Source organism: Homo sapiens, chromosome 5 (assembly GCF_000001405.40).
Source record: "Homo sapiens chromosome 5, GRCh38.p14 Primary Assembly".
Lineage (NCBI taxonomy): Eukaryota > Metazoa > Chordata > Mammalia > Primates > Hominidae > Homo > Homo sapiens.
This window is the reverse complement of record NC_000005.10, coordinates 86,746,502-86,765,306: the sequence shown is the minus strand read 5'-3', so window position 1 is coordinate 86,765,306 and position 18,805 is coordinate 86,746,502. Positions and strand designations below refer to the sequence as shown.

The 18,805-nt window shown below is 37.0% G+C and overlaps 1 long non-coding RNA gene across 1 annotated transcript; it reads right to left on the bottom strand.

Moving 5' to 3' along the window:
* Positions 1-15,534: 15,534 nt before the first annotated feature.
* Positions 15,535-18,489, bottom strand: LINC02059 (long intergenic non-protein coding RNA 2059). The gene is made up of 3 exons (NR_105017.1): positions 18,240-18,489; positions 16,134-16,191; positions 15,535-15,985 (listed from the first exon to the last, which is right to left on the bottom strand). It is a non-coding gene; the product is annotated as a long intergenic non-protein coding RNA 2059 (long non-coding RNA).
* Between the last annotated feature and the right edge of the window lie 316 nt (positions 18,490-18,805).

Below are 18,805 nucleotides of genomic sequence, written 5' to 3'. Positions count from 1 at the left end.
TGTTTGACCATTAATGGCTCCACCTGGACACACCAACCTCTCTTGTGGCCCCACCCAAAAGTGATTCAGCATACATGAGGATCATTTACCATATCCCTATAATTGCACCCTCAACCAATCAGCAGCAAGTTCTTATTGTCTAGTGACCGCTCTTTCTTCCCCCCAACTATCCTTGAAAAATTCCAGCCTCTGAATTTGAATTTTCTAGGAGACTGATGTGAGTAATAATAAAACTGGTCTCCCGTTCAGCTGACTGTGTGAATTAAGCTCCTTCTCTATTGCAATTCTCCTGTCTTGATAAATCAGCTTTATCCAGGGAGCGGGCAAAATGAACCCACTGCGTGGTTACAAAACACTGGACATGGACTAGGACAAGTAGGAAAAGGTGCTAGTTCCACTACTTACACCTGTGGGACCCTGGACATGCTGTTAACTTCACTGAGCCTCAATTATGTCCATAAAATGATCATTATTCCATGAAAAGATGCTGCTGTACCAAAAAAGGCATTGTTATTATGGTGTCATGTACAGTCATTTAAGAGCACTGAGGTTACATAAACATATTTTGTTGCTTCTTGCTGGCCTTTTATCTGCTGTCTAACTTTGATAAAATTTTGGAAGAAAATAATTAGTCCCCTTTCTGGAGAGCTTTGCATTTAGAGCACAGTCAACATATATTAAACAAACTTGCAGTTATGAGATGAATAAGTTCTGGATAGACCGTGTACAACATGGTGAATATAGTTAATAATAATAATTTATTGCCTACTTGAAATGTGCAGAGAGTACATCTTAACTATTCACATCACATCTCTAGAGTTAATCTCCAGACTCATTTTAATGACAATAACAGTTTTGACCCCTGACTGAAATATCTGAAGTTTGACATCAGCTGCAGATGAAAGTTATGAGGAAAACAACAGACCCTTTTTCAGATAGGATATAACAATCTTCTATTCAAGGTGAATCACTGACAAATCTCTACAGGAGAGAAACTCTGCAAAGCATTATCTGTGGCTGAGCCCATCACAATTCAACAAAGATTACGCTTTGGTTTATTTTTCATTTCAAAGTTTGTGCATATATGTGTTTTTCCCCCTTCTACCCACACATTCCCCTGCCTGTAAACTCCTTTTTACCAGAAGGGTTTTGGCAGAACAAAGGTGTCAAAAGAAATTCAGGCAGCCAGACACAATGTTAGCTGAACACATAATGGGTGTTAGCTGCATGACTCAGGAAAAGAGAGTGTAGTTGTTAAATCCCAGAAACTTTCTTTGATGAGAAAAATAAGTAGGAAACAAGGTAAAACAATGAAAATAGGATTTCAAAATTCATAAACCATAGGATTCCTTGGTTCAGAGACACTTTTGTCACTTGGGACTTGAGTTCATTGAAAATACTTATATTCACAAGTGACCATCAAGCCAAAGACATGGAATGGGTATAGCAAGTACCTTTGTATCTGTGAAGTCTACTGATACCATTAAAAAAAAAAATGCAATGAATGTTGATAGAGTACCTGCTATGTGCCAGGTAACAATCTCTAAGTAAGAGATTGTATTAGAGATTATGGTGGAATCAATATGTTCACATTTCCAGATTCAATTCTTGTGAGGTGGGATTACTTTTCCAGATATTTCTACTTCATTAGTCCCTAATAACTCTGCTTCTTGCCATCTCTTACAACCAGAAATAAAAACCAGGAATTAGGCAGAAGTTGTGCAGGTGCTGCTTATTGTTGGGCTAATGGAAGAAGGCTTTGGAATATAAATGGGGTGTGTGTATGGGGTGGAATTGGTGAGGGTATGTGTTTTAGCATAATCAAGTCTAAGATAAGTTAACAGAAAGAATGGAAATCTCTTATGCAATCCTGGTCAAGTTTTTCTGGCAGGTTATCTAATCCTCACAGTGTGATCTCTTGTTTCATTTTTGTTTTTCTTTGGAGGAAAGACTAGGTAACAGCTAAGAATAGGGAATTTTCAAATTCTTTTTTTCTCCACCCACTGGGTCCCAAGAAGCATTCTTCCCTTTAGCAAGTAACAGACATTTAAATATGCAATTTATAAGAGATAAGACAGATATTGGTAGGTGACAATTTCCAAGGAAAGGAAGTTGTGACTTTACAAACACATAGGGTTGTGGTGAAAGAAGATATGGGAGAGTTGGGAATATTGACAGTCACGAAATTCTTATTCAAGAGATGAACTTTGGGAAAAAAATAGGTGGTAAAATTAGGAAATGAAGCTGTATTCATGTGAGAATCTCCAGAGGCTAAGGACTGTCTAGTCAACACCCAAAATATCTCTGTGGTGAGGCTTTATTTCTTTAGGGTAAAAAGATATTGATTAGTTTGCAGTAAATTTCTGAAAAAATAAAGTAAGGACTCAGGCAAATGTAAAACAAAAGCGCATTAAAGATTTCAACTAATTTATTTTCTTTCCCCTCCTTTTTAAAAAATGGAGACAGGGTCCTGCTCTGTCACCCAGGCTGGAGTGCAGTTGCAAGATCTTGACTTACTGTAGCCTCGACTTACTAGGATCAAGCAATCCTCCTGCCTCAGCCTCCTGAGTAGCTGGGAGTATAGGCATGTGCCACCATGGCCAGCTAATTTTTGTACTTTTGTAGCGACAGAGTTTTGCCATGTTGCCCAAGCTGGTTTTGAACTCCTGGGCTCAAGCGATCTGCTCATCTTGGCTTCCCAAAGTATTGGGATTACAGACGTGAGCCACTACACCCAGCCTCAACTAATTTCTAAACAGGAGAAGCAGTAAGATAAAGTTCAAAAGAAAATTTGTGGAACTGAGATATATATGTGTGTATATACACACATATATATGTATGTATGTATAGTCAGTTGGCAATACTGAAATGAATTTGCTAATAGAAACCAAATTGCTTAATATTGTATCGGACAATAAATTGTAATGTTTGCATTATTGTTTCAACCAGGGGGAATTCAATTTTATCTTTACTGAATAAATTTAATTTACACAGTTATGAATAGGAACAATTTATATTGCCATAAAGAGGAATCATTTGTAACTTCATTTCTACAATTTAGTCTCCAAACCTACAAAACATACAATAGCCTTGTCAACAACAAAAAAGCAATCTAAATTGTATTCTCCTAGAGAATCAAATTATCCTTGAGGAGTCCACTAGACAACAACCAGCATGCCACAGAAAGGTCATTTAAATGGTATCTTTTGCCCATTTTCAAGCTTAAACTTTTTCTTAGAGGTGAAACTTTTTTTCAGTCCTCTTTGCATAGTTTGACATCAATTTTAAAAATTGCTTAGATCTTCATGAAGGTTTAGCATCTATATTTACTTTAAAATTGTAGCCAAGAATTTAGAATAGATAACCTCTATTCTCCATTCACCAGCAGGCATCTGAAAGAAAGTTTATTTCCTTGACTTTCCCCTCCCAAGAGAATAATTATCAACACATCCTACAGAAAAAAATATCTTTTTGCATGGTATTATGATACAAGGAACAGATTTTGTAGATAATCTAATAGCGCATTCCTGGAATGCCCTCCTCATTACCTGAATGAACTCTGTCTAGTCTATTCAAGATGTTCTTTATATTTAAGTATCCTGGCTGCTTTTTAAATGAGACGCATGGGTCTTGTGAATTAATCCTTTCCGTCTTCCCACCTGAAAACACACTGTGGTTTTGGTAGAGTACAGTAAGTATGCTGCACTCTGGTTGCGGAAATTTGGTTTTGGTATTGTATAATACAGTTTAGTATGAAGTCAGTCCCAAGCTAGAAGCCAACCCTATGGGTAGGCATAGGGGTCCTGAGCAATAACACAGGGGTAAGAAGTACTTCAACAGATATAGCTAGGCCAGATGTGGGGGAACAAGATTGAGTATAGCTACTCACCACAAAGAGTAAGTACATTCAACAGTCTAAACCTTTATGGAAAAAAAGAGGTATAATGAAGTCAGATATAGTTTAGGAAATAATCCGTATTAGGAAGACCAGTTTAACAACTAGACACTACTAGAAAGAGTTCTATTCACAAATCATGCTGATAGCAGGTAGAGATCTGACCATATGTGGATTCAGGGAATAGAACTCAGCTTCTTGGAAAAAAAATAGGCTATAAAGATTTAATTCAAGCACTTGGTACTTATTTTAGGGAGAACACTAAGGAGAATAACAAAGGCTAAACTCATGGAAAGACAATCTTGGTATATGCATAAGCTTTGAGTAGTGTAGATTTTTTGGGGAATTATCACCAGGGAGTGAAGACTATCTGGGCCGGTGGCACAGGGTAAAAGAATTTACCAAGACAGTTGTAGGTAGAGACAGGCAGATTTATTAGACAAAGTAGGAAAATACTTGTGATGAGGCAACAGGCAGGATCAGCAGAAGAGAAGCTGACTGCCAAAAATCAAAGGCTTGCTGGGGATTTTGTAGAATAGTGTTTATGCTGTGTGCTGAAGAGGGCTTTGTGCAGTACTGATAATGCCAAGGTTGCAGTGAGCTAACTTGAAACAGTCTGGTGATAGTTGGATGCAGGAAGATTGTGGGTTATTTGAATAGGAGGGCTGTGTATATTTAAAATATTTGATCCTAGACCACGAAGAAAGGCAGACTTGTAGCTTATCTGCCTTCTCTTTTTGCTTTCCCATGCTCCCACCAGTCTGATTCTCTTTCCCTAATTCAGACTCCAAAGGAATCACGTTTTGTCTCTGACACATTTTATCTATATAGGGTTGGAATAATAAAAATTTGGTGAGTTGAACACAGGGATGGAGAAGGGCCATGTGAGAGCCCTACAAACAAAACTGAATTTCTTAATCCCTAGCTAGAAAAAGTATGCTGGAATTACTAATTTTATTAAGTGTGGGGCTGATATTTGGATTAATTTTTTTTAAACTAGGGTGGGAATGAGTATGGGATGTGAGTAGGAATAGATGCACATTTAGGAAATCGTGAAAGTAATGGCACAAAATACAAATCTGGAACTAGATAACAACTAATTCATTATTCTATTATTTCTTCATCTTGAGCAAAACATAATAGAGTCGATCTTGTTGACTATCCAATCTAATAACCTGGGCTGCCTTCAGCTGGCTGTTGGTATAGAAATGATAGTACGTGTGAGCTTATATTCATTCTGCAGTGTCTGTATATATTCTTTTTTATATCAACTTTTAATAAGTGATCACATGACCTCTTTTTGAAAACCCTGCTCTTTACAGACTTGTTAGCTAAATTGACATATATTTCATTTTTTATAGCTCCCTCACCTCTTCTCCAGGTTTCAATCTTCCAAGTTTTACAATTTAATATATCTTTTCCACCTATTGTTATGATTATTAATTCCATGGCTTTTGAAGTTAATGATCTTACATCTGGGTCTTCTGTTGAGTTAAACCTAATTTTGACTTGCATTTAAGCATTATTTCTACCCTGAGGCCTTTTTAAGCATTATTTCTACCCTGAGGCCTCTTGCTTCCTGAAACTTTATTATCTATTTTCTTTAACCACAGTATGCTGGATGTAGCTTGTACTGATTCTACCAACTCGCTAGAGCTGATTATTAAATATTCAGGAATTTTGTGAGTGGATTGTTAAATTTGCCATGGTAGGAGTATTTATACCAAATTAATTTACAGTTCCTGCAGCTGAAATGTTCATAGACAAGAGAATCAAGGTACAGAAAGGTTTATTAATTTTCCCAAGATCAAAATGCTAATAAGTTCTGGAGATAGAACCAGAACTTGGATCTTTTCTATTCTAACCCATGTCATGGGCATTTTATGATTCTTAGGGAATGTTGAAGCAGAATTTAATAGTCCAATATAATGTTTGTAGCTAAAAATAAGGAATGTATTGGTATGATATGTATTTTAGTAAAAGATGGAAGATAATGATTGTAAGATAAATGCTTTTTCTGAAATAGGGTTCACATTATAAAACTAGCTTAAAGATTGTTTCTGGCTGGGTGCAGTGGCTCAAGCCTGTTATCTCAGCACTTTGGGAGGCCAAGTGGGGTGGATCACTTGAGGTCAAGAGTTGGAGACGAGCATGGTCAACATGGTGAACCTCCTCTTTACTAAAAATACAAAAATTAGCCAGGCATGGTGTCACGTGCCTGTAATTGTAGCTACTCAGGAGGCTGAGGTAGAAATTGCTTGAACCTGGGAGGCAGAGGTTGCAGTGAGCTGAGATCGCACCACTACGTTCTAGCTTGGGCAACAAGGTGAGACTCAGTCTCAAAAAAAAAAAAAAAAAAAAAAAAGGTATTTTCTACACAGTAACACAGTGTATAATTGATTTTTGTATAGTTGGTTCAAGCTTAATTATGGTTACAGAACTTGAAGGGTTAATGTCTCTAAATAAATGCAGTAAAATAATATATTTCCATACATTTCTATATTAAAACAGCAGCAGATAGAGCAGTTACACTAAATGCCAAAAAATGTATGTTATTAAGTCTTAAAAATATACAATGCAAATTGGGGACTTATTTGTTATACAAAAAAGATACTTGCACATGCATGCTTATAGCAGCACAATTTGCAATTGCAAAAATGTGGAATCAACCCAAATGTCCATCAATCAACAAGTAGATAAAGAAACTGTGGTATACATATACGATAGAATACTACACAGCCATAAAAATGAATGAATGAATGGCATTCACAGCAACCTGGATAAGATTGGAGACTATTATTATAAGTGAAGTAACTCAGGAGTGGAAAACCAAACATCATATGTTTTATGTGGGAGCTAAGCTATGAGAATGCAAAGGCATAAGAATGACACAATGGACTTTGGGGACTCAAGAGGAAAGGGTGGGAAGGGAGTGAGGGATAAAAGACTACAAGTTGAGTGCAGTGTATACTGCTCAGGTGATGGGTGCACCAAACTCTCACAAATCACCACTAAATAACTTACTTAGGTAACCAAACACCACCTGTTCACCAATAACCTATGGAAATAAAGAAAATTTTAAAAGGGGGACTTCTTGCTATTATTAATATCAGTAATAAATTAAACCAATTGATTCCCCACCACTACTAAACCCCACAAACATTCACCCTAAGTTACAATCTGCTCCCCTCCCCGACTTGCTTTCTAGAGCCACATATTTCCCTTCAGGGACTAGCTACTTGTTCTTCTCAGAGAAATGTGTCACCATCTTTCCAGCAGAGCCAGTCTTGGCAGTATCTCTCCTCCCTTAAACAATTTCGATAGGAAACCTTGTTATCTCTTCCGACTATATGACTCACACTCATCAAAAGTCCCAAAAGCTATGATCTCATGTATTAGGTTTCTTTCCCCTGTGGTTTTCTTCCCCGTTAGTGCTTCTGTTAGAACCATCTGTCAACTAACTTCTTGGTCATTAACTCTCACCCCTTAGCATGTAAAGCCAAACCTTATTTATCAGGTTATGAACGGCCCTCATATATTGAGAAGTCTTCCTACTCCCTCAGATTAACTGAATTTGTAATCAAACCTCATTAATTATGATTTGAACTTTTCTCTCTTCCCTGTCTTCTCATTTCACTTACCACTGCTTTAATCTTAGTTCAAGCCCGTATCATTTACATCAACAGTAACAACAGCCTCTTTATTGGCCTCTTAGTATCAAGTTTTTACTTCCTTCACTATATTTTAAAATTATCTTTAGAGTAATGTTTCCAAAATATAAACCATATCACATTCAACCTATGCAGGGTTTTTGTATCCTCAGGATTCAACACTACTCAGGTCAAAATTTGTATGTTTAAAATATTTGATTCAAAGATAATCCATTGTTAAAATATTTTTATTACTAATAATGTTCTTCTGGTTATAAATGCAATAACAAAGTGCAGAAATATATGAAAAATATTAAAATTATTCCAAACACTATAATTTAGATATAACCATTATTAACATAGTATATTATCTGGTTTCAATCTGTAGAGATTTTTCTTGGTTGCAAAGTTTGGTAATGTCATAAAACAGCTAAGCCCACCATGATGATGGTTGGAACGACGTTGTTCTCCAAATAGATGAAGTAAATGCTTCTCACTTTATTTAGAAATAAACTGCATTTAGTTTGATTTTTTTCTCCTATTTTGGCAAGAGTAGCAACTTCTTTAAAATGTTGACTCTGAATTTTTTCATTTATCACTTTATTCATCAAAAGCCATTATGCACCCATCATATATGTAGCACACAATCATTTACACAGTAGGTGAATAGGCTGGGTTCTTGCCCTACAGGACATACAGTCCAACAGGGGGAGCTGTGACAAATACATAAACTATTTTAAAACAAATTAGAATGGTACCAGGTATTTAGAAACAAAGTGATGGAGTGTTTCTGGAGAAATTGCTTTCTCTCTCCTAGGGTCATGGAAACTTTATGTATGAGTAGCGGTTGAGCTGAATTTTGAAATGTGGGTGTACATGTGGAGGAACTGCTAAAACAAAAGACTAAAGAAAGGAAAGCTGGGAGTCTTTGGGAAAAGCTATGGAATTGCACGTGCGGCGAGATTCAGTGAAAGATAAAGCTGTAAGATGGAGCATGCTGAGGCAAAGGAGAACCTTGAATTCAAGGAGTGGGTATTCTCAAGCTACTTGGTATAGTCAGGAATCCCTGAGTGTTTCTGTTCACAAAAATGACAAAATTATAGTTTTGTATTAGGCTTGCTACAGTAGCAGGCCAGCAGGCCATAAGGTGGGTGGGAGAAGGAAGAGCTTACAGTTGAGAACAGTTTTGGAGTGCAAGTTAGAGGAAGCAAGAGCCTGAATTACAGTAGTGGCCATCGAGACTGGAAGACAGGAGAATTTAGGCAACATTAAGGACAAAAAAGTGACTGGACTTGCTGTCTGAATATGATGATTAAAGGTAAAGATGTTAAAATATCACCAGCATGTTAATTCAGGATAACCAGGTAAATGGGATGCCTTGAAAAGTAAAAGGCCGAGGGGGAGGAGAATTTTGATGAAAGATGACTTGGTTTCAGATATAGGAATTTTAAATATTCATTGGCTCAACATGGAGACATTTTTCAGCATCAGTTTCAACTATTACTTTCAGAACTTCTTAAAAATTTTATTAGTTTGGCTCCACTATTCCTCCTTGAAAAGGAAATTTAGACTTATTTATCACTGTCATGCCAATTTCCTTTTCTCACGTTATGCTCTTACCTCTAAGATCTTTATATCCTGTAATCATGCCTTCTTTCTTTACAGGGCAGATGTTTGGTTTGCACAGTCCCTTCCCCTTCATTCTGTCCTGTAATTTTTGTATTGTTTTGACTGCCCTCATTGATCTGCTAACCACGTTTCATCCTGTAACTATCACCTTGCTAATAGTATGCTGTCTGTGTCTACTGGAGAGGAGGATGATCAACTTAGAGAGGCATGTTTGAAATCAAAGTTCAATGAAATATTTTGTGTCATACTCGGTGGGGGTGAGTAGCAGGCATAATGCAGGTTCTTTGAAATTATTTGGTTTGGAAATCAAAACTCAATACTTGGGCAAGCTGCCATTTTCTGTTGTTATTGAGTGGTACAGCAAGGTGAGGTAAAACAAATCAGCTTAGTTGCTTTGGTGTGCTAAATGATCCTGTTCCTTCTATTCGATTAAAGAGGATTCTTAAAGTTAAAATTTCAAACATGTTTTGGGCTGGCACAGTGGCTCACACCTGTAATCTCAGCACTTTGGGAGGATGAGGTAGGCAGATCACTTGAGGCCAGGAGTTTGAGACCAGCTTGACCAACATGGTGAAACCCTGTTTCGAAATGAAGGCAGAAATAAAGATGTTCTTTGAAACCAACGAGAACAAAGACACAACATACCAGAATCTCTGGGACACATTCAAAACAGTGTGTAGAGGGAAATTTATAGCACTAAATGCCCACAAGAGAAAGCAGGAAAGATCCAAAATTGACACCCTAACATCACAATTAAAAGAGCTAGAAAAGCAAGAGCAAACACATTCAAAAGCTAGCAGAAGGCAAGAAATAACTAAAATCAGAGCAGAACTGAAGGAAATAGAGACACAAAAAACCCTTCAAAAAATTAATGAATCCAGGAGCTGGTTTTTTTGAAAGGATCAACAAAATTGATAGAATGCTAGCAAGATTAATAAAGAAAAAGAAAGAGAAGAATCAAATAGACGCAATAAAAAATGATAAAGGGGATATCACCACTTATCCCACAGAAATACAAACTACCATCAGAGAATACTACAAACACCTCTAGGCAAATAAACTAGAAAATCTAGAAGAAATGGATAAATTCCTCGACACATACACTCTCCCAAGACTAAACCAGGAAGAAGTTGAATCCCTGAATAGACCAATAACAGGAGCTGAAATTGTGGCAATAATCAATACCTTACCAACCAAAAAGAGTCCAGGTCCAGATGGATACACAGCTGAATTCTACCAGAGGTACAAGGAGGAAGTGGTACCATTCCTTCTGAAACTATTCCAATCAATAGAAAAAGAAGGAATCCTCCCTAACTCATTTTATGAGGCCAGCATCATCCTGATACCAAAGCCGGGCAGAGACACAACCAAAAAAGAGAATTTTAGACCAATATCCTTGATGAATATTGATGCAAAAATACTCAATAAAATACTGGCAAACCCAATCCCCCAGCACATCAAAAAGCTTATCCACAATGATCAAGTGGGCTTCATCCCTGGGATGCAAGGCTGGTTCAATATATGCAAATCAATAAATGTAATCCAGCATATAAACAGAACCAAAGACAAAAACCACATGATTATCTCAACAGATGCAGAAAAGGCCTTTGACAAAATTCAACAACGCTTCATGCTAAAAACTCTCAATAAATTAGGTATTGATGGGACGTATCTCAAAATAATAAGAGCTATCTATGACAAACCCACAGCCAATATCATACCGAATGGGCAAAAACTGGAAGCATTCCCTTTGAAAACTGGCACAAGACAGGGATGCCTTCTCTCACCACTCCTATTCAACATAGTGTTGGAAGTTCTGGCCAGGGCAATTAGGCAGGAGAAGGAAATCAAGGGTATTCAATTAGGAAAAGAGGAAGTCAAATTGTCCCTGTTTGCAGATGACATGATTGTATATCTAGAAAACCCCATTGTCTCAGCCCAAAATCTCCTTAAGCTGATAAGCAACTTCAGCAGTCTCAGGATACGAAATCAATGTACAAAAATCACAACCATTCTTATACACCAATAACAGACCAACAGAGAGCCAAATCATGAGTGAACTCCCATTCACAATTGCTTCAAAGAGAATAAAATACCTAGGAATCCAACTTACAAGGGACGTGAAGAACCTCTTCAAGGAGAACTACAAACCACTGCTCAATGAAATAAAAGAGGCTACAAACAAATGGAAGAACATTCCATGCTCATGGGTAGGAAGAATCAATATCGTGAAAATGGCCATACTGCCCAAGGTAATTTATAGATTCAATGCCATCCCCATCAAGCTACCAATGACTTTCTTCACAGAATTGGAAAAAAACTTCTTTAAAGTTCATATGGAACCAAAAAAGAGCCCGCATCACCAAGTCAATCCTAAGCCAAAAGAACAAAGCTGGAGGCATCACGCTACCTGACTTCAAACTATACTACAAGGCTACAGTAACCAAAACAGCATAGTACTGGTACCAAAACAGAGATATAGATCAATGGAACAGTACAGAGCCCTCAGAAATAATGCCGCATATCTACAACTATCTGATCTTTGACAAACCTGAGAAAAACAAGCAATGGGGAAAGGATTTCCTATTTAATAAATGGTGCTGGGAAAACTGGCTAGCCATATGTAGAAAGCTGAAACTGGATCTCTTCCTTACACCTTATAAAAAAATTAATTCACGATGGATTAAAGACTTAAACATTAGACCTAAAACCATAAAAACCCTAGAAGAAAGCATAGGCATTACCATTCAGGACATAGGCATGGGCAAGGACTTCATGTCTAAAACACCAAAAGTAATGGCAACAAAAGCCAAAATTGACAAATGGGATCTAATTAAACTAAAGAGCTTCTGCACAGCAAAGGAAACTACCATCAGAGTGAACAGGCAACCTACAGAATGGGAGAACATTTTTGCAATCTACTCATCTGACAAAGGGCTAATATCCAGAATCTACAAAGAACTCAAACAAATTTACAAAAAAAAAAAAAAAAAAGAACCCCATCAAAAAGCGGGTGAAGGATATGAACAGACACTTCTCAAAAGAAGACATTTATGCAGCCAACAGGCACATGAAAAAATGCTCATCATCACTGGCCATCAGAGAAATGCAAATCAAAACCACAATGAGATACCATCTCACACCAGTTAGAATGGCAATCATTAAAAAGTCAGGAAACAACAGGTGCTGGAGAGGATGTGGAGAAATAGGAACACTTTTACACTGTTGGTGGGACTGTAAACTAGTTCAACCATTGTGGAAGTCAGTATGGTGATTCCTCAGGGATCTAGAACTAGAAATACCATTTGACCCAGCCATCCCATTACTGTGTATATACCCAAAGGACTATAAATCATGCTGTTATAAAGACACATGCACACGTATGTTTATTGTGGCACTATTCACAATAGCAAAGACTCGGAACCAACCCAAATGTCCAACAATGATAGACTGGATTAAGAAAATGTGGCACATATACACCATGGAATACTATGCAGCCATAGAAAGTGATGAGTTCATGTCCTTTGTAGGGACATGGATGAAACTGGAAAACATCATTCTCAGTAAACTATCGCAAGGATAAAAAACCAACCACCACATGTTCTCACTCATAGATGGGAATTGAACAATGAGAACACATGGACACAGGAAGGGGAATATCACACTCTGGCGACTGTTGTGGGGTAGGGGGAGGTGGGAGGGATAGCATTAGGAGATATACCTAATGCTAAATGACAAGTTAATGGGTGCAGGACACCAGCATGGCACATGTATACATATGTAACTAACCTGCACATTGTGCACATGTACCCTAAAACTTAAAGTATAATAATAATAAAAATAAAAAATAAAAAAAGAAAATATTAAATAATATTTTAAAACTTAAAAAAAAAAAAAGAAAATTAGCCAAGTGTGGTGGCCCATGCCCGTAGTCCCAGCTACTCGGGAGGCTGAGGTGGGAGGATCGCTTGAACCCAGAAGGCGGGGATTGCAGTGAGCCGAGACTGCATCACTGTACTCCAGCCTGGGCGAGAGAGTGAGACTGTCTCAAGAAAAAAATAAATAAATAAATTCTGTTTTGCAATCCAATGATAGTTCCAAACTGTAAAAAAAAAAAATCTGTTTTGCAATCCAATGATAGTCCCAAACTAATTATTATTATCATTGCCCTAGTCTTCTAGCAGTATCTTGGTATTATGGAGGCAAACTACAAAATAGTTTTTCAGGATAGTGTCATGATTTCTTTGTTGTGATTCTGGTGCTGATTTCAATATTGCTCTCTATTCTTTCTCATAACTATATACTAGAGGAAAGAGTGGGGATAGAGTCTCTCTTCTTTCTGATAACTATATAGTAGAGGAAAGAGTGGGGATAGAGTCAACCTGGTGTTTAGTAATTACACAGTGATACACAATTTACCTGGTATTGATAGCATGCCAAGTTTGCTTCCAATCTGTTCTTAATATTAACATCATCAACAATAACAGAGTTTTTGTTTCAAAGAATGATAGAAACTAGCACTGATACACCTGGGATTTGTTCCCTCTTCAGAGCTTAAATATTGGAAAACACAAGTGACTGAGCAGTATGGTCACTTTACAGCTTTTCATATTTGTGTTATATAATTTTGAACCCTACATGTCCTCTTTCTAAAGTGCTTCATTCCCCGAACCGGTGATTTCTTAACAATGTGGTCTTGATTACATTTTCCCTCTTTACAACAGTAACGCTGAACTATCTGTCTCTTTACTGTGTCATGCCCCTCATTTATATGCCGGTTTTGGTGCTTGGCAGGTGTCTGCAACCTTACTGAGACAAGGCTATTTGAAACACCACAAGGGCAGGACTTGTGCTGTTCAGAACTCTACATCAGGTGAAAGGTCAAGCAGACTTCATCAGAGTTGCAGAAGTTTCTTGCAAGTAATTCTAAAACACTTGGAATGTACAATAAGGTGAACTTTTGCTGGTTTCTGGTATCAGGAAAGTACCTTTTTATCATAAGAAAAAGGCAAAGAAAAAAGGAATAAAGAAACCAGAAAAGCGTTTCCTTATTATTGGAAAAAAATAAGAAACTTTAACACGAAACTGCTTTATGTCATTCATATTCAAATAAAAAATAATAATTCATATCCTGCTCTAACTTTTGGCTGTTGACTTTTTGCTGTTAATCTTAACTCATAGGTCCCAACTGTCAAATTCATTCCAGGATTTTTTGACTAGCTTGCTATTTTTGCATTGACTTGATACAGGTATTCATAAAACTAAACTATTTTCCCACAGCTGGAATATTAAAGGAAGGCTGTGGACTATAAACATAAACCCACATACTTCTAGGTGACAAACCCTTTTCTAGACTAAAATGTTAAAAACATGTTTTTCTTTTTAATAAAATTATTGAAACTGAAACACAAATTATATCTGTTGGCACTGTCAGTGCTATATTGTTTATATTTGCTAAGGTTTTTTAACTCATAAAACATTTATTTTCAGGCCAGGCATGGTGGCTCACGCCTGTAATCCCAGCACTTTGGGAGGCCAAGGCGGGCGGATCACGAGGTCAGGAGATGGAGACCATCCTGGCTAACACGGTGAAATCCTGTCTCTACTAAAAATACAAAGAAACAAAAACAAAAACAAAGAAAAAAATTAGCCTGGCATGGTGGCGGGCACCTGTAGTCCCAGCTACTCGGGAGGCTGGGGCAGAATGGTGTGTACCCAGGAGGTGGAGCTTGCAGTGAGCCAAGATAGCCCCACTGCATTCTAGCCTGGGCAACAGAGCAAGACTGTCTCAAAAAAAAAAAAAATTATTTTCAGAGGACAGGAAAAGAAATGATATAGAAAATTTATAAACTTAAGACAGTAATTCTTTTGAATTCATAAACTGCATTAATCAATTTACAAATTACTGACCCAATATTTAATTCCATTGTCACCATGATTGACAATTCCCATCAGATGTGGAAAAGTATTGTGCTGTTCTCTAAAGGGGAATGTGAAAACATGAGGGGGCAGAAATGCTATAGCTTCCACAGTCTACCAGATAATACCATGAAACTTGATTCTGTTCCTCTCTTTGCATTAGCTGCCAGAAACCCTGGAGCCAAATACTTGGTAAGTGTGCAAATATTCAAGATGCATAGATTGTGTACTAACCTTCATGAGTCATTCCTTTTTTCCTTATCTTTCTCTTAAATGTATTTTAAATGTATTACTTATATTGCTCATAGTTGTTTTTAAACCTTTATTTGGAGTTAGATGTAGGATACAATTTTAAAAGTTATACATTTACTTAAAAAATCAATTTTCCATATATGCATTTCAACAATTTTTAAACAATGTCCCACAAAAATTAGAATCAAATCAGTATGATACAAGTTTATTAATATGTTTCAATAGCTCTGTAAAGTGACAATAGAAGATTTTAGACTTTGAGGTTCTAAGCATCAGGATTTAATTCCAGGTTGGGCCAAAGACCCAGTAGAATTTTCCAACCTTTTAAACACTGAGGATAATGTTTTCACAGCCAAAGTCCAAATCAGCTAAGCTGAAGGAACTACAGTGAGAATACTTTATTGAATATTTCAGAACCTGAGGCAATTTATATTTGGTATTGTTGGATTTCTCATAACATCTTTTATTCTTCAGCTCTTTAGGGACTACCCAGTCAATTCAGTAACATTTGCTGAGCATCCTTAAATTGTATAGCTTTATACTTGAGTCTTGATGTGTGTCTGGTAATTTCTGTCACCACTTGTTTAAAATTGCTTGGAGTGTTGGCCTCAGATATTTCAACTCAAAGTCATAGATTTCTCTAGAAATATTAGACAGTCTATATTACTAAATATTACAAAAGCTGTATTTTTCCCTGAGAAGTTGGCGGAGGGCACATCTTCCCATATTATTCCCTTTGAACATACTATTTGTCATAGATTGTCACAGTTCTTTGCAGCTTCTCCTACCTGGAGATGGAGTGTATTTCTTGACCTTCTTGAATTTGGACTTGTCTTGCAACTTGCTCTGGCCAAGAGAATGCAATGGAAACCAGATTACATAGGACTGAATCTGATATTTTGGAAACTTTTCACATTTATGCTGACTCTCTTGGATGCCTGTAACCACCCTGTGAGCAAGCCTCCTCCTGCTAAAGGATAAAAGACACAGAGAGCATATCTCAGCTGGAATGCCTACAGTCAGCCCCTAGGTGATTGTCAGCTATCTGCAGACCAAGAATGAACACAGCTAAAATAAGCCTAACCAAGCCCAGATCAGCAGGAATGTTCAGCTGACTCAGAGACTCATAAGCAATAATAGATGATCGCTGTTTTAAGTCATTATGTTTGGGGGTGGCTTGTATATGGCAATAGGTGACTGATTACGTTGCTTTCAGGTCCTCTGAAAGTGGTCTGTTTTTAGCTTAACTCTTCTCTCTTCTCCATAATGATAATTGTGAGTTTGAGCTGTCATAAACTTGAAGGTAGTTATGTGAAAGGGAGGCCTGTAGGCCTAATTAAGATGCTATCAAGTATAAACACTGAATCTTGCTATTCTCACGTGGCTGAAAACTCAAGGTAGTAGACTTTCTGGTTTTTCAAAACACGTTGCCTAAAAACAGTCTTATGACCAGCCAGCAATCAATATATAAATATCAGGAAGAAGTCATTTTATCTTGTTGTTGTCCTATTATTTAATAAAACTTACCTTCAAGAAGTTTGTTCTTATGTTATTACTATAAAAGTACTGTCTATTTCCCTGACACCTGTTTGTGAACCAGGCTTTCCTATTTGTTCATTTTTTTTTTTCAGCATACACATTTTTCTCAACAGGCTATTTTGCTGAAATGTTTTCAGAAACTTCTATTAAAAATAACTGATGTCTTATACTTAATAGATTTTCAGTAACTTCGTTAAATGAATGTCAAGCACAATGCTAATGCTGATATTTGGAAATGATGTTGAAGTTTCAATAAGGACATCTAACGTTATGGATGGTAATTCAGTCTTACTGTAAATTACTACCTGACTCTGAAACTTAGTAAGAGTAAATGTAGCTCTGTAAGAGGAATAATAAAGATATAATTGTCAAAAAAAGTTTGTTCTTGTGTCTTGGCTCAAATTCCCTTTTTATATTTTAAACTCATATTCTGAAGTCTTTTTCCAGAAGTGAAACTTGTTGGCTTCAAGTACCCTCAGGGTCCATCTCTTGCTCTGCAATACAATCAGCAGTACCAAGGGCATGGTCAGTGACTTTCCCTGCATATTAGGCTTCTATTTTGTGCTTGTTTTTTGTAATGCTCTGAGGAGTCTAAAATTTTTAATACTTGTGGCACCTATTCTATCTTTTTGGTAAAATATACCAAAGAATATCAGAGACAACATAGCTCATGAGTATAGGAAAGTATCTTTAAGTCCATCATTAAAATAAACCTAAGGAGAACACTCTGGTATCAAACCATTTCCTTAGATTTCCCATTTCCTTTGGAAAGCCACTAGAAATTTGCCTTCCTGCTTCACAGGAGAGAGAAAAGCAGCTTGTTCCCAGCAAACTAATAAATACAACCTACCTGGAGGTTCATTTCAATATTCGTTAAACCTCTCTTTAGTCTCCTTCATCCACAATTGGTCTATCCATGTGCTATTCTCAGTTCAGTACCTAAACTTGTTTACTCCATCTACAACCACTCTCCAGAAGAAGAGCTCTTTTTGCCTATGTTATTACCTCTTTTATTGCCTCAAGACTTTTATTTCTAATTTCTAACCAGCTTGTCAATTTATTCATACACATTATATTAATATGTGATAACTTTTACGTTATCTCCTTTTCAGAGAGATACCATGTTTGTAGTTGTTTCAGATTTTCAACCCCTAAACTTGAAGAGGTGGCTAATCGATGAGAAGTTTTGGCTCTATGTATTTGTCCAGGGAGCCTGCTAATATGATATCCATTAAGTGCCATCTCTATTTTTACACAAAACCGTTTTTTAAGAAAGACCTCCCTTTTTCTCTTACTATATTCCAACCATATCAGTGTCTCATTCCTAACTGAAAGCAGCCAAGTCCCCTACATACTCATTATGTACGCCTTCTATAGATCCTGTTAGTAGGCAAGAAAAAGGGGGCATGTGTGTGCATGCACTCCCAGCCGCCGGGATGAGCTGTCCTTTCCATTCCACTTGGCTCCTCACCATAACAAGTCTTGGATATTTTGTGTCATAGTACTTTGAAATGTCCAAGAGAGAAATAATCCTTTTTTGCTATTGTTTGAACCATTCAGACTCAACAAAGACATTTTGTAAATGATGACATCCCTTTAGAACATGATTCTAGAATGTAGGCATCTGCAATTTTTTGGTTGCTATGGTAATTTGGGTAGGGGTACTAGTTGAAAAGTGGACATAGCTTTCGTCCAAATATGAGTCTTGGATTTCCTGGGCACATGGTCCTGCCAGTGGCACTACAGTCAACTAAACAGACATATTCAAAAAGTGAAGAACAAATGGAATTCCAGATTAATAATGATGAGCCCAAGGCAAGAGTAGGAAACACAGAATGGCCTTGTATGCACATGATGAATTGTTATCCTTGGTCCTAGTGACTTTGAAAAATTAATAAAGAATGCTAAAATGCTTAATTCC